This window comes from Homo sapiens, chromosome 11, assembly GCF_000001405.40.
Source record: "Homo sapiens chromosome 11, GRCh38.p14 Primary Assembly".
NCBI lineage: Eukaryota > Metazoa > Chordata > Mammalia > Primates > Hominidae > Homo > Homo sapiens.
In genome coordinates this window covers 64,764,288-64,783,903 of record NC_000011.10, presented here as the reverse complement: position 1 = coordinate 64,783,903, position 19,616 = coordinate 64,764,288, and the positions used below count along the sequence as shown (strand labels likewise).

Genomic DNA, 19,616 nt, shown 5'->3' with positions numbered 1-19,616 from the left:
CTCGCTCTGTTGCCCAGGCTGGAGTACAGTGGCGTGATCTCAGCTCACTGCAAGCTCTGCCTCCCGGGTTCACGCCATTCTCCTGCCTCAGCCTCCTGAGTAGCTGGGACTACAGGCACCTGCCACCACACTCAGCTATTTTTTTTTTTGTATTTTTAGTAGAGATGGGGTTTCACCGTGTTAGCCAGGATGGTCTCAATCTCCTGACCTCATGATCTGCCTGCCTCGGCCTCCCAAAGTGCTGGGATTACAGGTGTGAGCCACCGCACCCAGCCTTTTTTTTTTTTTTTTTTTTTTTTTTTTGAGACAGGGTCTCCCTCTGTCACTCAGGCTTCAGTGCAGTGGTGTGATCACAGCTTATTGCAGCCTCAAACTCTTTGGGGTCAAACAATCCTCCTGCCTCAGCCTCCCAAGTAGCTGGAACTACAGGCACACATCACGCTCAGCTGATTATTATTATTTTTGTTTCTGTAGAGACATTCTCCCTATGTTGCCCAGGCTGGTTTCGAACTCCTGGCCTCAAGCAATCCTCCTGCCTTGCCTTCCCAAAGTGCTGAGATTACAAGTGTGAGCCACTGCACCCAGCCCTTGGTGCATTTCTCAATGCCTATAGTTATATAATGTTGCAAAAATGGAATCATGTAATACATTTGTTAAGCGTATGAAGCATTTTTTTTTTAACTTTGGATTTTTAGGCTGGGTTTGGTGGCTCACGCCTGTAATCCCAGCACTTTGGGAGGCTGAGGCGGGCGAATCACTTGAGATCAGGAGTTTGAGACCAGCCTGGCCAACATGGTGAAACCCCGTCTCTACTAAAAATACAAAAATTAGCCAAGCATGGTGGCGCATGCCTGTAATCCGAGCTACTCTGGAGGCTGAGTCACGAGAATCGCTTGAACCCAGGAGGAGGAGGTTGCAGTGAGCCAAGATCATGCCACTGCACTCTGGTCTGGGTGACAGAGCAAGACTCCATCTCATAAGAAAAAAAAAAAAAAAAGTTGGATGTTTAAGATGTGTTGGGCAACTTCCAGCCGCCCATTTCACTCTGCAATAGAGCATGTGCTGTGTATCCTTCTGTAGCCTTTGTTATGCTCAGATAATCATATGCAAACATGCACACATCTGTATGGGGTTTGTGTTACAAAAACAAAGCCATGTCATATGTATTTCTTTGTTAACACAGAACAGTAGTTACTTTAGGTTGGTTGGTATGAATTAACAGCTTTTCAAAGCTGCCTAATATTCTAGGTTATGGGTTTTCCAATTCAGTCGTTCATATATTGATGGAAATTCACTCTGTTTGCCCATTTTTACCACTACAAACAATGCTGCAGTAAATGCAGAAGACTTTGAAAACATTATATAATCACATGGCTTGTTTGGGGGCAGATTCCCAGGAGTGGGATATTGGATCGAAAGGGTTTATGTTTTCTTTCTTTTGAGACAGAGTCTCACTCTGTCGCCCAATCACAGCTCACTTCTGCCTTTACCTCCTGGGCTCAAGGGATCCTCCCACCTCAGCTTCACAAGTAGCTGTGAGTACAGGTGCATATTTTTTTATTTTTTGAAAGGGGGAACAATTTTAATAGACAACAGAATGCTTTCTAAAAGATTAACGATAGTAGGTGTTAGCACATTTATGTTCTGCTATTTTCATTTATTTTGAGATTCCTCATTATCACCTTAATTTGTATTTCCCTTATAGGCAGTGTCTAAATACTGGTAAATAAATTAGCTAGTCTCAGTCGCACAAACTCAGCACAGTCTAAGGTGGTACTGCTATAACAGAATCCCTGAGACTGGGTAATTTATTTATTTGAGACAGGGTCTTGCTCTGTTGCTCAGGCTGGATTGCAGTGGCGTGATCATAGCTCATTGCAGCCTTGATCTCCTGGGCTCAAGTAATCCTCCTGCTTCAGCCTCTTGTGTAGCTGGGACTATAGACATGGACCACCATGACCAGCATTTTTTTTTTATTTTTTATTTTTTTAGTAGATGTTGCCCAGGCTGGTCACAAACTTCTGAGCTCAAGAGATCCTCCCACCTCAGACTCTCAAAGTGCTGGGATTACAGGCATTAGCCACCACACCCAGTCTGGGTAATTTATAAAGAATAGAGATTTCTGGCTGGGCACGGTGGCTCACGCCTATAATCCCAGCAGTTTGGGAGGCCAAGGTGGGTGGATCACCTGAGGTAAGGAGTTCGAGACCAGCCTGGCCAACATGGTGAAACCCTGTCTCTATTAAAAATACAAAAAATTAGCCAGGCATAGTGGCGGCACCTGTAATCCCAACTACTTGGGAGGCTGAGGCAGGAGATTCATGTTGGCCAGGCTGGTCTCGAACTCCTGACCTCAGGTGATCCACCCACCTCGGCCTCCCAAAGTGTTGGAGCCACCGCGCCTGGATGGAGATTAAGTTTCTAACACATGAGCTTTGGGGGACACATTCAAACCTGTCCACCTAAAGTAATCAAAAGGGTCAGAATCTAATTTCAATAGTTTATTCAAGCACAAAACATGAGGGTGGACTACCTGGAAACACCGACTCCAAATGAATGGAGTCAGTGTTTCGAAGTAGAGAAGTTAAGGTTTCATTTACACACACAAAGGCAGAGGAGTTTTAGGATTACATTCTTCATATATGGTCAGTGCGTACTTACAGTAATTTGGTTATAGGCCGAGTGCAGTGGTCCACTCCTGTAATCCCAGCACTTTGGGAGGCCGAGGCGGGCAGATCACCTGAGGTCAGGAGTTCAAGACCAGCCTGGCCAACATGGTGAAATTCCATCTTTACAAAAATGTAACAATTAGCTGGGCATGATGGCAGGTGGCTGTAATCCCGGCTACTCAGGAGGCTGAGGTGGGAGAATCGCTTGAATCTGGGAGGCAGAGGGTGCAGTGAGCCGAGATTGTGCCATTGCACTCCAGCCTGGGCGACAGAGCCAGACTCTGTCTCAAATTGAAATAATAATAATAAATAATTTGGTTGTAAGCAGTGTTTCTTTTTGGGAGGCATACATTTAACATTTTTTACAGAGGGTGTAATAGTCATGGGTTTGCTGTCATCTGGTCTAAGTAAAGCAGGACAACAAAAGGGAAGTTATCTATAAGAAGGGTCATTAAGAAGGCAGCAGGTTTTTGTCCCATGTTTAATTCTCTCCAATAATTGTACAGAACAAGAAAAACAAGCAGGTCTAATTTATTATCTCAGAAAAAATTATAACCATACATGGCTGAGATCACAGTCACCTCTCTCTCCAGGTTTCAAGTGTTGTGGGGGTTCCAACATCTTTTCTATTTATTTTAAAAAACCACAGCAGAGGGGTTGTGCACCCTTTCATATTTCTTGGCTATTTGGATTTGTTCTTCTGAGACATGTCCATTCCTATTTTTTGCTCATTTTCTATTGTTTTTGCCTTTTTTCTAATTAGTTTTTAAGATGTATTTGTATATTACAGGTATTGGCTCTTTATCATGTATGGCAAATATTTTTTCCTCATCTATCATTGTCTCTTGACTTTTATCAGTGTTAATTTTCGGGGTAATCAAGTATATCTTTTTACAGTTTGAGGTTCCTGTCTTTGCAGTCTCTCAACCCCTAGAATACCCTTATAGTCTCCTAAATTATATTCTAAATGTTTTGTTGTTTAAATTTAAGATTCTACGCCATTTATCAACGAAATCATCTTTTCCTGATTGAAATAAAATACTACATTTGTGGTATTTCCGGATTCTGTTGCACTAATGTGTCTTTCCTACCAACAATATCATATTGTTTTATTATTGTGGTTTTTTGTTTTTGAGACGGAGTCTCATGCTGTTGCCCAGGCTGGAGTACAGTGGTGCGATCTCAGCTCACTACACCTCCGCCTCCTGGGTTCAAGCAATTCTCCTGCCTCAGCCTCCTGAGAAGCTGGGATTATAGGCGTCTGCCACCACGCTCGGCTAATTTTTGTACTTTTAGTAGAGACGGGGGTTTCACCGTGTTGGTCAGGTTGGTCTCGAACTCCTGACCTCAGGTGATCCCCCCGCCTTGGCCTCCCAGTGCCTTGGCACTGGCCTATTGTGTTTTATATACTATGTTTGTCATCTGGAAAGGCAAGCTCCTGCTCCGTCTTGTAAAGTTTTCCCAGTACTGTAGTAGTTATTTTTATTTTTATTTTTGACAGTCTCGCTCTGTCACCCAGGCTGAAGTGCAGTGGCCCCATCTCGGCTCACTGCAACCTCCGCCTCCCGGGTTCAAGCGATTCTCTTGCCTCATCCTCCTGGGAAGCTGGGATTGCAGGAGTGCACCACTACACCCAACTAATTTTTGTATTTTTCGTAGAGACGGGGTTTCGCCATGTTGGTCAGGCTGGTCTCGACCTTCTGACCTTGTGATTCGCCCGCCTCGGCCTGTCAAAGTGCTGGGATTACAGGCGTGAGCCACCGCGCCCGGCCGTAGTTATTGTTTTATACGATTTTAAGATCATTTAATTAAATCCTCTGAACTCCGTGGAGATTCCAATAGAAGTGTGTATTTGTAATTTTTGAACTGACAACCTTCTGTTACCTTTCATCTAATATGTTGTTGCATCAGTTCAAATACTGTTTTAAATCCTTCGATAAGTCGTCTCTATTCGTAGCTTTTTGGGTCACTTTTTTTTTTTTTTTTTTTTTCCAAAAAAACAGGAAGTCTTTTTACCTGCAGCGTCAACTGAGCCGGTTTTCCGGCGCGCGCCAGCCCCTCCCCTGCTCCCGCCCCAAGGTTCTGCGTTACCATGGGAACAAAGGTTGACGTCACTTAGGGCTTCCTTGCTGGACCCAAGGGTCGATGGTGAAGGGAGACGGGTGGAGAGGCGGTTTTGCTCCATCTACGCATGCGCACTTCCTGCTCCAGGACTCCCCCGCCGTAAATCTCGTTCCGGCTGGGCCTTTTCCGCCGCGACTCTCGCTTAATCCCGGAGAAACTGCCCCCTGGGGGAGGGGAGTAGAAAAAGGCTGGAACCAGCGACAGCCAATCCCGCGACACTACAACGCAGGCGAGATTGATTGAGTCCACCACCGCAGCCAATGAGAGAGCTCGCCGTCGCTCCGTCATAGAGTTCGCCCCACCCCATCCCCTCCTTTCTGGACTCGGAGCTCAGTTCACGCAGTAACAAATGAAGTGCGCGCTGCGACACCTCCCAGCCCACCGAACTCCGCCGCCATTTCCTCGCTTGGCCTAACGGTTCGGCCAATCCCAGCGCGCATCAAGAAGGACTGAGGCTCCGCCAATCGGAGGCCGCCGATTTCGACCCTTCGCCTCGGCCCGGCCCAATCCAGGCCCCGGCCCCGCCGCCCCCGGCCCGCCCCCGCGGTGCCCTCTCTCCTCCCTCTTTGTGCGTCTCGCGCCGCCGCCGCCCGCCGCGTGAGAGGACGGGCTCCGCGCGCTCCGGCAGCGCATTCGGGTCCCCTCCCCCCGGGAGGCTTGCGAAGGAGAAGCCGCCGCAGAGGAAAAGCAGGTGCCGGTGCCTGTCCCCGGGGGCGCCATGGCGACCGGAGCGAACGCCACGCCGTTGGGTAAGCTGGGCCCCCCCGGGCTGCCCCCGCTCCCCGGGCCCAAAGGAGGCTTCGAGCCGGGCCCTCCGCCTGCACCCGGGCCTGGGGCGGGGCTGCTGGCTCCCGGGCCGCCGCCGCCCCCGCCCGTGGGCTCGATGGGGGCCCTGACCGCGGCCTTCCCCTTCGCGGCGCTGCCTCCGCCGCCTCCGCCGCCGCCCCCTCCGCCTCCCCAGCAGCCGCCGCCGCCTCCACCGCCACCGTCCCCCGGCGCCTCGTACCCGCCGCCGCAGCCGCCCCCTCCGCCGCCGCTCTACCAGCGCGTGTCGCCGCCGCAGCCGCCGCCACCCCAGCCGCCGCGTAAGGACCAGCAGCCGGGCCCGGCCGGCGGCGGAGGAGGTGAGTCGGGCCGAGAGAGCGCGAGAGGCGTCGCGCGGACGGGCCCGGCCGCCTGAGGGGCGCGCGGCGGCGGCGACGGCGGCTGCACGCGGCAGGGGCGCGCGTGCGCGCACGGGGAGGCCCGGGCGGAGGCGCCCCTGGGCGCGCGCGGCCTGGTTCTAGGGCCTCGAGTGCGCACGCGCGCTGTGGGGGGAGGGCTGGGCGGGCGGGAGGCGCTCTGTGCGCAGACGCAGTGAGGTGGCCGGGCTGTGCGGCGCAACTGTATAGACTGGGGGCCCACTATTGCTGTCCAGTCCGCTGGTGTCGGGAACAGGGGTGGCGGGTGTTCAGCGCTGGACGGGGTGCTAGCTGTGAATGCCAGCAGGGCGTGAAAGCCTCACCTGATGACGTGCAGCGACTCCCTTCTGGTCTTGAGGAACCAGAATGGGAACCGTACCAAGGATAGCTCCTCTGCTTCTACAGCAAGGCAGGGTTTTCATCCGGGAGAGGTTGGCATGCTTCAGATGATGGTTGGGTCTGATCTTTCTTGGTCTCTTTTGGGGAGAGAATTTTAGTTTGTTTTTTTTTTTAAATCTGTTCAGTATGTTTAGATCTCAGTCTGATCGGCTGCCCTGTCGCTTTGTTTTAAAAAGCTTTTCCCTCTGATCCTGTACCCCTTGGGAAATAGAAGGACTCTTTTGTGGCAAATGTAGGGAGTTTCTGCCTATGTACGGGGAAAGGAGAACTTGGCTGCTATTGTATAGGTTGTTGAATTTTTGATAGATCCTTTTAAGAGTTCAGACCCTCAGTGTCCAACTGGCCAGGAAAACTGAATGCTGATCTTGGCTAAACTTATGAAGACAAAGGTGATCTTGTTGAAGAATTGGGCTTTTCCCACTTGGTAGGGTGTAACTAGGTTTAGTTGTGGTCCGGCCTCTCGTACAAAAGTGACTGGTGAGGGGAGTGGAGGTGGGTGGAGCCCCCAGTCCCATCAGGACTGCTTTACAAATCTATGATTCTTCAGTGTATTTTTGTCTCCCCTGGGGATTTCAGAGCACTCATGGTTGATGTAGTATCTATCTAACACTCTCTGCAGCCATATGCATTAAGATTACCACGTTTATATATCTGACAGTTTTTCTAGACAAAAGAAGGTGAAATGTTAACTTGCCTGACCAAGGACCACATACCCTTGTAGTGGCCATAAGCTTTAAATCTCTGATCTCTGAGGTTTGTTTTCTGTTTTTTTAATGTTTAAGTTTTAGGTTAAGCTCTCAGCTTCACAGTCTGCTGAGTTTCTGTGTAGTACCTTAAATACCCTTAGCTGTCTGTTGATAACTACTTGTATTTACATCGGATGGATTTTGTCTCTGCCTTTTAGACTTCCCAAGTAAGAAGCGGAAGAGGAGCCGCTGGAACCAAGACACAATGGAACAGAAGACAGTGATTCCAGGAATGCCTACAGTTATTCCCCCTGGACTTACTCGAGAACAAGAAAGAGCTTATATAGGTAAATATACGTTCTGCATCCAAATGCACTTTGAGATTGTTACGATTTATTCTGAGCAAGATCTGCATTTTTTGAAAGTTTGAGATTGTAGTTATCTTTTTTGAGATGAGATACTTTCACGACTTTGGTATCATCTGTCAGTTTTTGCCCAGTGAGTTCTGCATTTGCAGCTCCTTGTTTTGGTCTGTTCGTAACTGCAGTGTTCTCCATGAGTATCAGGAAGGTAGGGTTTCACTTAGGAGTAAGAACAGTCCCCAGTCCAGCAGCCACCCTTTTCAGCTGCTGTTCATTGCCAGTTGATGAGGTGAGTGTCATCTGCCTCTCTGGACAGGCCCCAGTGGAGAACACCGCAGGTACTGTAAACCAAGTACTTTTCACAGCGTGGCCTTTCACCATAATTTTATATTTCTCCCCCTAAAATGTGGTCTTTTACTTTTTATAGGTACTTTCTGAAAAAAAAAAAATGACAAAAAGTGGTTCTGAAAGTGTGTTTACAATTTACCCCTTTTTATTTTCTTGAATTTAAGAGTTTAACCTTCCCTTCAACATCTTTTCTGGTTTGGTCTATGGAGAGCTGTCTTAAAATGAAGGCTCTTGTATTTACTTTTAAAGAACTCTGCTGGGAAAGGGATATTGCATGGATATGGAATGAAGTGCTAGGATAAAAAGGTTTTATTTGCTGGGAGGTTTTGAGAATTAATGACTATCCACAGTGGAATTGAAATTAACCTCAAAATTGCTTTTTTGGAAAAAAAAGTTTTTAATGCAAGTTTTATCTTTATATACCTGTGCAGCTGTCTCAAAAAAGTTCACTTTATAAACATTTCCTACTAACCAAATAAACATCCCCTTTGGAGGAAATTCGGGCAAAGACCTCCTAAACCTACGAGGCTGTGGCCTTCACAACCAAAAAGCTTCAAGGCCAGCATGTTACTACTTTTGAGGGTCTTAATTTCCTGTTTTTTAGACTGCTGAGAATTTTGAGGCGTTGGAATTGTCTGTCTCCTTTCACAGTACTACTAATACTTGTTCTTTCCCCTACTGTTCCTGTCTACTCCCACCCATTCCATTGTGTCTCATATTAGACTAGTCTGGGTCTTTACATCCTTGTGAAATGCCCCTAGTGGAGTGATATCCCAAGAACACAAGCATACTTAGAAGATGGGAAGAGCACAAATTCTTTATATCTCCATTTCTGTTTTTGTGGAGGGCTAGTTAGTTCACTGGGCCCTAAGGACTATTTATAGCTATAATCAAAATAGAATCAAAGGAGAGGTGTAGTTCTCCACAGAAGAGAATGACCCTTTTTATTTAGATCAGGCCCCACATCTCCATAGTCAGCTAGGAAGACTCACCTTCTCCCCTCAGTGAAGGTGACTTTCACCTCGAGTTGTTGAGCTTAATACTCAACTGCAAAGTCAGAACTTTTTAGGCATAAAGGAGCTTGGGGAACCATGTGTCTTACTACTTTTCTGTCTCCCACGGTACATACTGCTTTGTCCAGGATGCCCTCAATATCTTTTTTTTTTTTTTTTTGAGAGACTGAGTCTTGCTGTGTCGCCAGGCTGGAGTGTAGTGGTGCGATCTCGGCTCACTGCAACCTGCGTCTCCCGGGTTCAAGTGATTCTCCCACCTCAGCCTCCCAAGTAGCTGGGACTACAGGCGCACGCCACCATGCCCAGCTAATTTTTTTTGTAGTTTTAGTAGAGACGGGGTTTCACCATGTTGGCCAGGATGGTCTCGATCTCTTGTCCTCATGATCTGCCTGCCTTGGCCTCCCAAAGTACTGGGATTACAGGTGTGAGCCACTGTGCCCGGCCAGTATTTTCTTTCGATAATAATGGGTTTTCATTTCTTCAGGGTTTTAGTGTGTGGGTGTGGTATAGCCCTGTGGATGTATTTAAAGTTAGAAGGAATCTTTGGTTAGACACGCATTAATCCTATCTTGGAGCCAGCTCAGTTTTAACCCAACCTAGTAACATTTGCCCTTATTGGAGATGCCTGCTGAAAATTCTCAGATGCTGCGAAGGTAAGGAACAGGTGGTTATTCCGCATGTTGAAGAAAGCTGCTCTGGCTCTGCAGTTCCCATTATCTTGGAAAATCAGCTGTGTAACATTTCCCTGGCGTCACTGGCAACTTTTGTGAAACCCTCATCTCTCTTTTTCATGCACAGCCTCATTGGTCAAGGCCCGAGGGCCAAGTACATTGTCCTTGAACACACATTCCATTCTTCTACACGCCTGCTCCCCATATGAACAGTGAGCCTGAAAACAAATTCTTAGCACTTTATGGTTACTGGTTTATTAAGATATGTGGTTTGTCATTTAATATTTGAATAAATATTTCATATAATTGAATAAGAGCTGCAGGTATTGGGAGACCCTTACTAGTACAGGTCTGGTTGTACAGAAAGAGTATGTACAAATTTCTATAAGGTGTTGAATTTTGTTATTAAATGTCTTATTTAAGGAATTTTAAATGTATTAATGAAAATGATCTTTGCTCAATTGGTATTTTTCCTTGTCCCATGTTAATTGGGTCTCATTTTGGGCTATGTTTAACATTTAATGAAGAAAAAACTCAATTCTTGCCCTCAAGTAATTTGATGGGAGTCGGGTATTGGTGACGTAACATGGTTTATGGTTCTGGGTACCAATGGTAAGCAAGCCTTGGTGGGGAGGAAGAGGTGAAACACCTCCTAATAATTGCTTGGATGTTAGCCTTAGTGAACAGTCTTTATTGCTAACCCCTCTTCCAACAAACTGTTTGCTTCCTTAAGTGATAACCATTTTGAAGTGAAAAAAACCTATAGATGTAAAAGGACTCCTGCCGATAGGTGGTTGGGGGTTTTTGCTTCAATGTGTTCACTGATCAGTCGTCCCTTTCAAAGTCTCCGAGTTCTTCATGCTTGTTGTTGAGATTTGAGATGTTTATTGGTAACATTGTCTTTTTTCCATCCTTTTTTTTCTTTCCTAACCTGGTTTCTTCCAGTGCAACTGCAGATAGAAGACCTGACTCGTAAACTGCGCACAGGAGACCTGGGCATCCCCCCTAACCCTGAGGACAGGTTGGGAAACAGTTTTAACCAGCTGACAGTAACGCTTTTACCTTTTTCTCAATACGTTTTACTGGTGGCAACATATTGTGTCAGTTCAATAAAATCATAGTATGACGACTGTACCCTGACCACTTTGGGGATTAAGGTTTAATTAGAAATATGTATGGTCAGTCAACAGTTAGAAAATTGGAATAAAACTTAAAAATGTTGGGAGAATAAAAAGTTACAGGAAAATGGACAACTGGTTTCCAATTGGTAAGCATGTAGATCTTAACCTGATTTACCCACCCTTAGGGGACAGTGAGGTGGCCCGTTAACCTGCCTTTTCAGTACCTGCTTTGGCCAAAAGCCCAGGGCATAGAGTTTTTCTCACAGGTACACAGTGCAGGGACTAAAAATATTTTTGAGCATCACTGAACTTGAGCAAGCCAGGAGCTCTGGTCAGCTCATTGCTGCAGTCTTCCTGCTCATGGTTTTGAGATGGTTTCAAAATCAGATGAGATTTCTAACCAACTTCTTTCACTGCCAGTTAACTTTCAGCCTTGGCCATTGCCTTGGGGGTGTTGGGAGGGGCCAGAATATTCTCACCTATTTTGGGAAGGCATGCAACCAACCCTAAATTACTTTTTTTTTTTCCTTAAAGGGAGCGTGGGCCTCAAACAGCTGTGGTCATGTCATTTCAGTTTGCAGTTTCTCTCACCTCAGAAAAATAAATTGTGTGGGGGAGATGAACTTTTTTAAACTGGAATTTTATTAGCTGATTGAACAGCTAAAATTGGTCATTTAATTAGAAGGGCAGTAAGTCTCTCCCTCTCACTGAATTTTCTCTTAGTACATACAGAATAGTTGAAAAGACTTTGCTTTAAAAAGTAGTGTTTTTGGTTTTTGTTACCCAGTTAATAGCTTATTAAATCAGGAAGATGATGTAATGGCTTTAGAAGTCACTCACTCATGCATCTTTCTTCCGCCCTTTGCCAGGAAACATTAACTTCCTTGTTTCTCCATATTGACTCTTTAATTTGACTTACTACATTTGCTATATTTTACCTATAGATAGATTTTGGTTGTAGGGTTGTGTTGTGTTTCGTTTCTTTTTGAAGATTTTTTTTTTTTTTAAATTTACATTGTAGGTCATAGACCACAACTGTTTAGTGCCTTTTTGGCCTTTTTCCCTTTAATAATATGTCTACAGGTCACCAGTCAATTCCTCCAAAGGTTGAATTTTTAACAAACCTTCTTTGCTTCCTGGATAACTGGGATTAGAATTTAGTTGATCTAGCCGATGCCTGTTGGAGGTGAAGAAGTCGGGCCAGTCTAACCTCTAGAATACTAGCTTTTGCCTTTCACTTCTGCAATTTGGGAGGAGGTTAAACTGTTGTGAGGCCTTCACATGGCCAATTGGGTGCTGGTAAGACTTGTTTTTGTAACTAGCTAAGAATGCTTAATTCTAGACAGCTGTGGGGTGGGAATTAGAAATGTCAAGCATGTTAGAAATAAAACCAGAGCAGGGTTTTTCCTCCCTTCTATTCAGTTTTGAAAGAGGCCCTAATGCCTGATTGGTTTTGCTTTTGAGCCCAGGTTGGAGGGAAATGCATGGGTTTTCTTAATTAAGATAATTTCTTAAAAAGGTGTTATATCACTTAAGCCACTTTATTGTTATTTTGATGCTGCTTAACTTGCACAGTAAAAACATGTTTAAAACTTTTCTTGTAGACTTAAATGTATAAGATGGTAGTCTAATGAGCTGGGGTATGTTTGCTTTTGTTCACTCTTAATGGATTGTGCTAACAGTTTATACAAATGCTAGAAACGGAGGTGTCATTTAGCCGTCATTAGCCATGAACAAACCTGACCTTTTATTCCATCGTGTGTGTAACGTGGTGTGACATGGTTCCCTTTAGGCTGAAGACAGTGGGAGCAGCCGAGTTCAGTCCTTGCTCTCCAACTAGGCAAGGTTCTCTCAACTAAACCAAGGGTATAGGAGTCTTGATTACTTTCAGTATGTTTTTTTAATAACCTGATCCACATGGTCTCTTCCCTTCTTGCAGCTGCTACTAAATTTTCATTCAGAATATCAAGCTATGGTCCTTTTTGTAATCTTAACTCAAAATTCTAGGAGTGTAACCTCTCTTTTTTATTACCGCAAAATCCAGCTGTGGTAAACTGACCATTTTATCATTACATTTTTTTACTTGTAGCAACAGCATTTTACTCCTTAAAAAAATGAGAGAGAGAAAATCTGCTTTCTGGACTTGTAAACTCTGGTGGAGAATCATAGGTTTTCCCCTTGCTGTTTGCAGGTTCAGACCCTAGACAAGTATGACCAAATCTGCATTTGCAGCCTCTCGCAGAAGCTGCTTTAGCACTTTAACGTTTTTCTCTACCCAGACTCCCCAACCTCGAACAGCCAGAAAACAGGTTGTCTCCTGGGCCTTGGACACAGCCAGCCAGGCCATTGAAGGAAAAGCAAAGACGAAGCGAACCATCTCTCTCCATTGTGGGGGCCAAGTAGCTGCAGTAGCCTTCAGTCCCAGTTGCATTGGGTTAAAGAGCTCATACATACTATGTGTTAGGGGTACAGAAGCTTTTCCTCATAGGGCATGAGCTCTCCAAGAGTTAACCTTTTGCCTAAACTTGGGGTTTCTGTGGTTCATAAAGTTGGGATATGTATTTTTTTTCAAATGGAAGAAAATCCGTATTTGGCAAGAAGACTCCAGGGGATGATACTGTCCTTGCCACTTACAGTCCAAAGATTTTCCCCAAAGAATAGACATTTTTTCCTCTCATCACTTCTAGATGCAAAATCTTTTATTTTTTTCCTTTCTCACACACACCCCAGACCCCTAACGTTAAGCCAGCTTCCATCTCCCCATTCCACACGATCTTGAGTAGCACACGTTATGGTCGGTTCCTCCGAAGAGTGTTGTATTAGGGTCTGAGAGGCAGAGGGGCTGGGAAAGACTTGTTATAGTCCGTGTGGGAATGAGAGAAGTCGGTGCAGAATAGTAAACGGGAGTCTGTTTCCCACAGGTCCCCTTCCCCTGAGCCCATCTACAATAGCGAGGGGAAGCGGCTTAACACCCGAGAGTTCCGCACCCGCAAAAAGCTGGAAGAGGAGCGGCACAACCTCATCACAGAGATGGTTGCACTCAATCCGGATTTCAAGCCACCTGCAGATTACAAGTAAGCGGAGGGGCTCGGTCATCTGGGATGAAGACACATGCAGATCATGGGTGACCTGCTGGGATGGGACAGTATTGGTACTACTCACCTCTTGCCTCAAGTCACCCATAATTAGCACTTGGTACCAATATTTGGTTTTAGAAAAGCCGCTGGCTGTGTCATTCTCCAGAAATGTGCGGTGACACAGGCTTTTCTTTCTTAGACCTCCAGCAACACGTGTGAGTGATAAAGTCATGATTCCACAAGATGAGTACCCAGAAATCAACTTTGTGGGGCTGCTCATCGGGCCCAGGTGAGTAACTGCTGGTCTATAGGATATAGAATTCCTTTAGAGCCTGTGAGATGTGTCCGTTTTGTGCCTAATTGGGGACTGTTGGCTTACTTTTCCCCTTTTTGGTAGGACATTTCATTTTGGCTGAATTAATGCCTTTCTGTGAGAAGGTGTCTTAACTTCCCCACTAGTGCGGAGAAGTCAAATCCTCAGGTTTACTGTGGCTGACCATAATATAGAGTTCATGGAGCTCTTGGTGGGAAAATCCAATTCTCTGCGCTTGTGGTTTCCCACCAATGCCAAATTGGTCCAGCCTCTCTTCCCTCTTGAGTGTGAATTTGTCAGGTATAAACTTAGTCATTTCTGCCTCTCTAGAGGGAACACCCTGAAGAACATAGAGAAGGAGTGCAATGCCAAGATTATGATCCGGGGGAAAGGGTCTGTGAAAGAAGGGAAGGTTGGGCGCAAAGATGGCCAGATGTTGCCAGGAGAAGATGAGCCACTTCATGCCCTGGTTACTGCCAATACAATGGAGAACGTCAAAAAGGCAGTGGAACAGGTGAGCGGTGAGCCCAGAAAGGAAGCCTCCTAGCAGAAACCTAGGTGGAGGCCCTAAGCACTTAACTGTCCATTGCATTTTCACTAGATAAGAAACATCCTGAAGCAGGGTATCGAGACTCCAGAGGACCAGAATGATCTACGGAAGATGCAGCTTCGGGAGTTGGCTCGCTTAAATGGGACCCTTCGGGAAGACGATAACAGGTATGTGATCAGTTTAAAGGAGAGTGTAGAGACCTGAAGAACCTATGGAAGTAGAGATTGTTCCCTTGCATTGACCTCTTTTTCCTTTAATAGGATCTTAAGACCCTGGCAGAGCTCAGAGACCCGCAGCATTACCAACACCACAGTGTGTACCAAGTGTGGAGGGGCTGGCCACATTGCTTCAGACTGTAAATTCCAAAGGTGAGGGGCTGGCTCTTGCGGTTTCCTGGTAGCCTGCGATGTGCAGGACAACTTTTCTGGCACATTCATTGGTTGCTGTTAATCTTACCAAGAGAAACATCCTTTCTGTTAGTGTGGTCTGTAATGGTGTGATTTAAAGCCCAGGATGATTAGAAATAGGCTGTACAGATACCCCTGTTTGTTTGTCTTGAGCCCAAGAAAACTGGAAGTTTCCATTTTGGGTATGTTTTTACTGGGGCTCAATAGGAAATTCACTGCTTTTGCTGTTCAGAATTGGTTCAAGAAGACTAAGCAATCTCTACAGATTTCTGACCAGTTGCAAGTCAGCACTCGATATCAACACTTTCTGACTGGCTGGCGAATATGTAAGGTTTTGTTTAGGAAGTTCGTTCTGGCAGTTGTGCCAGTCTTGCATAGATTTTCCTTTCCTCAAACTGGGAATGAAGTTTGATGAAATTGACTTGAGAGAACCTGTGCTTCATCGGTGCTCAGGGTCTCCTGTGCTCTTCGCCCAGGGGCCCCTCTACTCTGGTGATCCCAGATGCAGAACTGGGCACGAAACTGAAGATCTGATGAGACTGTTGAGAGCCATGCCCAGTAAGGGGTTAGAAAGATGTGTGATGATCTGGTGATTGAATTCTTCAGAACTTTCCATATGTTGGTTCCTCAGGATAAAAGCTTCCTTCTTAACAAGTTTTTCCCCTTTCTCTGTTTGTGTCCCCCACCCCACTTCAGGCCTGGTGATCCTCAGTCAGCTCAGGATAAAGCACGGATGGATAAAGAATATTTGTCCCTCATGGCTGAACTGGGTGAAGCACCTGTCCCAGCATCTGTGGGCTCCACCTCTGGGCCTGCCACCACACCCCTGGCCAGCGCACCTCGTCCTGCTGCTCCCGCCAACAACCCACCTCCACCGGTGAGCCTGGGGGCTGGCTCTCTTGGTCTGGCTTCCCCATTCTCTACTGCAGAGACTGGGAGCTATGGCCACGTGGTTTGGGTAGAGCAGACAATGGATGTGGATGGCAACATTGTTCTTCCGGGATCTCAGGCCAGTTTGGGGACTTCTCACTTCGGGAAGACCTTGTTCTTGTGTTCTGGTCCTGTGTCATAACCCGAAGAACAATGTTGCCACTAGGAGGCGCAGGCAGGGACGTTGGCAGGAAATGCTCTCACGTAGTCTCTCATGTCTACCACCCAGAGCCGCCCACCCTGGATGAATTCTGGCCCTTCAGAGAGTCGGCCCTACCACGGCATGCATGGAGGTGGTCCTGGTGGGCCCGGAGGTGGCCCCCACAGCTTCCCACACCCATTACCCAGCCTGACAGGTGGGCATGGTGGACATCCCATGCAGCACAACCCCAATGGACCCCCACCCCCTTGGATGCAGCCACCACCACCACCGATGAACCAGGGCCCCCACCCTCCTGGGCACCATGGCCCTCCTCCAATGGGTAAGTAAGTGTCAGACCAGAAACCTTGGGGGCTTTGGGATAAGCAAGGGGTTACGTCAGGTCGCTGTTGGCTAGAAGCAGCTCTCAAGTGGCTGGGCAATGTGCTGGGTCTGCCTGGCTTGCCAGGGTTGTGGCTCTGGAAGGAGCAAGACTCCATTCTGGTTCAGGGAGTGATTCTGTGTTGGGTAAGCACAGACCTGCCTTTTACAGGCATGGTTTTCAGAACTCGCGTAAGGATAGCAACTGAGGTTATCACAGGGGTGGCTTCCCTGGCCAGTTCCAATGTCCTGCTAAGTCCCTGCTCTTTCCTTCCATCAAGATCAGTACCTGGGAAGTACGCCTGTGGGCTCTGGGGTCTATCGCCTGCATCAAGGAAAAGGTAATGGCTGTCTGCTGGCTGTGGGTCTTCACCTAGGCTTGGGTGAGTGGGGGTTCTGGCCCAAGTCCCCGCCTTTCCCTGAGGCCTCATCTTTGCCTCCACCTGTCCACAGGTATGATGCCGCCACCACCTATGGGCATGATGCCGCCGCCGCCGCCGCCTCCCAGTGGGCAGCCCCCACCCCCTCCCTCTGGTCCTCTTCCCCCATGGCAACAACAGCAGCAGCAGCCTCCGCCACCCCCTCCGCCCAGCAGCAGTATGGCTTCCAGTACCCCCTTGCCATGGCAGCAAAGTGAGTAGAATATTTTGGGCTTGTGGGGGTGGGTGGGATGGGGGTGGGGCTGACAGGAACCATAGAGCCTCACACAAGCAGGCAGGTGTCTTGGGATGAGCCCCTGGGCTCTGCTGGGGTTGTAAACAGAAAGGGCCTCCTGGTCCAGGGGGTGGAGGGGCATCTTGAAGAGGAGAGCTGATGTTTGGTGTGGTTGTGTCTGGGGAGAGGTTCGTGGGGGCCTGGAGGGGAGCCTGCTATTGTAGGTAGGGGGCCAGAAGTCCAGACCCTCGCAGGCTGAGTGAGCGGCTGGCTGGACTGAGCCTGGTGCATATGGGTCGAGTGGGATGGTGCATGCTTGCTCTGGCAAGGGCTGCGATTGGGGTGAGAGACTGCAGAGGTGGGACTGGGCAGTGGGGAGACAGCAGCTGTGGCCTTGAGGTTGAATGTGCCGTTCGGTGGTGGCGGCGGCTGGGCGGAGGGACATCAGAGCTGTTCTTGTGTCTGGTACCTTCCCCTCAGCCCTTCCAGGGGCATTGGTGACAAAGGGCTTACTCTGTTAAGCCCAGAGACCTCGAGGCTGACCCCAGGGTAGTCCTGCCCACCCCTCCACTCCCCATCACCAGCCCCGCCCACCCGCCCCCCACCACCGTACCGCATGCCAAGCAAGGAGCAGGCGCCCCTCGCCCCCATCCCAAGGCAGCAGCCGCAGACAGCCGCGGTGTGCCCCCGCGCGTGTGACCTTGGGCTTCTTTACCACCCCAGATACGACGACTACCACCACGAGCGCTGGCACAGGGTCCATCCCGCCATGGCAACAGCAGCAGGCGGCTGCCGCAGCTTCTCCAGGAGCCCCTCAGATGCAAGGCAACCCCACTATGGTGCCCCTGCCCCCCGGGGTCCAGCCGCCTCTGCCGCCTGGGGCCCCTCCCCCTCCGCCGCCTCCACCGCCTGGTTCCGCCGGCATGATGTATGCCCCGCCCCCTCCTCCTCCGCCTCCCATGGACCCTTCTAACTTTGTCACCATGATGGGCATGGGGGTGGCGGGCATGCCGCCCTTCGGGATGCCTCCAGCTCCCCCACCGCCTCCACCACAGAACTAGACTTGTTTTTTAAGAAAATATATATTATATATAGAGAGAATTGGTCTCGTTTAAACACGCCGAACCTCACCATATGGAGCCAGACATTGGGACGCACGCATGTGATTGTGTGTGCACGCATGTGTGTGTGTGCACGCACTGGGCTGGGCCAAGCGACTGAGGATTCGCTTGGGAACGGGCAGGTGGTAGTAGGGGCGCCAGCTTGGGCTCTCCTGGCGCCCCGTAGCATCGAGTGTCTTCTTTGTCTTCTTTCTCTCCTCACCCAACTCCCTTTGCCTCTCCCCAAACCGGGCCGCCAGGATCCCTCCCCGCGGCGGCGATGGCCCGAGCCATGAGAGTGAGGACTTTCCGCGCCCATTGGTGACCCTTCCAGGCAGACAGCCTCAGCAACGCCCCTGGTGGACAGGATGGTTCGGCAAAGCAGCCTGAGTTATTTTTGTGGACGGAATCGGAACACGCTGGCTCCATATCGTGAAATTTTTATTAATTTTTTTCTTTTTCCTTTGTTACTTCTTTATCTTTTCCTTTCTTCAGACTCCGTCCAAGGAGATGCTCTCCCCGGTCTTCTGCTGCAATTTAGATTCCTTTCCCTTCTCTCCAGTTCTCCTTCCCTTACCAAGGAGAGGGGAGCAAATGGTTTTGGGCAAGGGCTTTGGCCATTCATGTCAAGCTGGTTGTGGGTTTTTCAAGGTGCCATAGCCACCCCCAAAGATGTTTGTTTAAAGCGTGGGGTTTTTTAATCTCTGCCACCCTTGTCAAGGGAGTCTTGTAAAGTTGCCGAGGGTAGGTTCATCTCCAGGTTTCGGGATTCCCATCCGTCCTGGCGATCCTGCCAGCAGTGGGTGGGCAGCCTGAGCTCCCTCGGGCTCGCCTGCCAGCCTGGAGTTCTTCCTGTGCTCCTTGATCACCTGAGCTGCCTCAGATTCCATTTGGTCCTCTCCTTCCTGGAAGGCTTCCTTTTATGTTTTGTTTTAATCCCAAATGTCTGAATGTTTTGCAGTGTGTAGGGGTTTGAGCCCCTTGTTCATTCTCCTTCCTTTTTCCTCCCGCTTCCCTCTCCATGAAGTGATTCTGTTGACAATAATGTATACTGCGCGTTCTCTTCACTGGTTTATCTGCAGAAATTTCTCTGGGCTTTTTTCGGTGTTAGATTCAACACTGCGCTAAAGCGGGGATGTTCCATTGAATAAAAGAGCAGTGTGGTTTTCTGGGTCTGCTTCTTTATTTTCTTTTTAATGCCTGCCCCGCCCGGTTTTTCTTTTCACATAAACTTCCTCTACCACCAGCAGCAGCAGCAGCACCAAAGGTGCCTTAACTTTCGTTCAGCACCAGGTCCGGGGGGGTGAGACTGTGGGTGGTTAATTAGGGAAGCCCACCACCTGCCTCCTGTGTGTGGCTTTGGTGGTGGGAGCTCAGTGTGTGGGTGGCTCCACAGTCTCCCCTTTGGTGACTAGTTAACATCGCTGAGAACCAATTTTGCCCCTCCTTGTTCACTGCTCATTTTTCTAGTCTCTGTCCTTTGAAGGCTTT

At 48.3% G+C, this 19,616-nt stretch overlaps 1 protein-coding gene across 20 annotated transcripts, besides 9 other annotated features; it reads left to right on the top strand.

Annotated features, from left to right (window-relative positions):
- Nucleotides 4,898-5,007: an enhancer, noted in NCBI's record as "active region_4915". NCBI's record gives its function as "activates an Ori minimal core promoter by ATAC-STARR-seq in GM12878 lymphoblastoid cells {active_cell/tissue: GM12878}" and the evidence as "EXISTENCE:reporter gene assay evidence [ECO:0000049][PMID:35858748]".
- Nucleotides 4,898-5,647: a biological region, named in NCBI's record as "H3K27ac hESC enhancer GRCh37_chr11:64545791-64546392".
- Nucleotides 4,984-5,585: an enhancer, noted in NCBI's record as "H3K27ac hESC enhancer chr11:64545791-64546392 (GRCh37/hg19 assembly coordinates)". NCBI's record gives its function as "activates a minimal SCP1, AML or CMV promoter by ChIP-STARR-seq in naive H9 embryonic stem cells {active_cell/tissue: H9 hESC(naive)}" and the evidence as "EXISTENCE:reporter gene assay evidence [ECO:0000049][PMID:30033119]".
- Nucleotides 5,248-5,647: a silencer, noted in NCBI's record as "silent region_3489". NCBI's record gives its function as "represses an Ori minimal core promoter by ATAC-STARR-seq in GM12878 lymphoblastoid cells {active_cell/tissue: GM12878}" and the evidence as "EXISTENCE:reporter gene assay evidence [ECO:0000049][PMID:35858748]".
- Nucleotides 5,362-19,298, top strand: SF1 (splicing factor 1). Of its 20 annotated transcripts, none has more exons than NM_001440585.1 (15): nt 5,362-5,542; nt 5,758-5,917; nt 7,278-7,406; nt 10,399-10,474; nt 13,496-13,648; nt 13,851-13,940; nt 14,295-14,478; nt 14,566-14,681; nt 14,775-14,882; nt 15,618-15,798; nt 16,060-16,333; nt 16,658-16,712; nt 16,825-17,004; nt 17,749-17,953; nt 18,386-19,298. In NM_001440585.1, the coding sequence occupies exons 3-15, from the start codon at nt 7,325-7,327 to the stop codon at nt 18,419-18,421; spliced, it is 1,740 nt and encodes a 579-aa protein (NP_001427514.1). In that variant the 5' UTR covers nt 5,362-5,542; nt 5,758-5,917; nt 7,278-7,324; the 3' UTR covers nt 18,422-19,298. The 20 variants fall into 20 exon arrangements, with proteins under 20 accessions (NP_001427514.1, NP_001427513.1, NP_001427512.1 ...); NM_001440584.1 differs by having other exon boundaries at nt 16,060-16,337; nt 16,653-16,712; NM_001440583.1 differs by lacking the exon at nt 5,758-5,917.
- Nucleotides 5,908-6,217: a silencer, noted in NCBI's record as "silent region_3488". NCBI's record gives its function as "represses an Ori minimal core promoter by ATAC-STARR-seq in GM12878 lymphoblastoid cells {active_cell/tissue: GM12878}" and the evidence as "EXISTENCE:reporter gene assay evidence [ECO:0000049][PMID:35858748]".
- Nucleotides 11,079-11,168: an enhancer, noted in NCBI's record as "active region_4914". NCBI's record gives its function as "activates an Ori minimal core promoter by ATAC-STARR-seq in GM12878 lymphoblastoid cells {active_cell/tissue: GM12878}" and the evidence as "EXISTENCE:reporter gene assay evidence [ECO:0000049][PMID:35858748]".
- Nucleotides 16,421-17,294: an enhancer, noted in NCBI's record as "H3K27ac-H3K4me1 hESC enhancer chr11:64534082-64534955 (GRCh37/hg19 assembly coordinates)". NCBI's record gives its function as "activates a minimal SCP1, AML or CMV promoter by ChIP-STARR-seq in naive H9 embryonic stem cells {active_cell/tissue: H9 hESC(naive)}" and the evidence as "EXISTENCE:reporter gene assay evidence [ECO:0000049][PMID:30033119]".
- Nucleotides 17,295-18,167: an enhancer, noted in NCBI's record as "H3K4me1 hESC enhancer chr11:64533209-64534081 (GRCh37/hg19 assembly coordinates)". NCBI's record gives its function as "activates a minimal SCP1, AML or CMV promoter by ChIP-STARR-seq in naive H9 embryonic stem cells {active_cell/tissue: H9 hESC(naive)}" and the evidence as "EXISTENCE:reporter gene assay evidence [ECO:0000049][PMID:30033119]".
- Nucleotides 18,168-19,042: an enhancer, noted in NCBI's record as "H3K27ac-H3K4me1 hESC enhancer chr11:64532334-64533208 (GRCh37/hg19 assembly coordinates)". NCBI's record gives its function as "activates a minimal SCP1, AML or CMV promoter by ChIP-STARR-seq in naive H9 embryonic stem cells {active_cell/tissue: H9 hESC(naive)}" and the evidence as "EXISTENCE:reporter gene assay evidence [ECO:0000049][PMID:30033119]".

Bases quoted from the DNA above. Each gene is read 5' to 3' on its own strand.
- SF1 (NM_001378957.1), top strand. From the start codon at position 5,512: ATGGCGACCGGAGCGAACGCCACGCCGTTGGGTAAGCTGGGCCCCCCC. The intron at 7,407-10,398 runs GTAAATATACGT...GGTTTCTTCCAG, and splicing joins ACAAGAAAGAGCTTATATAG to TGCAACTGCAGATAGAAGAC. The intron at 14,682-14,774 runs GTATGTGATCAG...TTCCTTTAATAG, and splicing joins CTTCGGGAAGACGATAACAG to GATCTTAAGACCCTGGCAGA.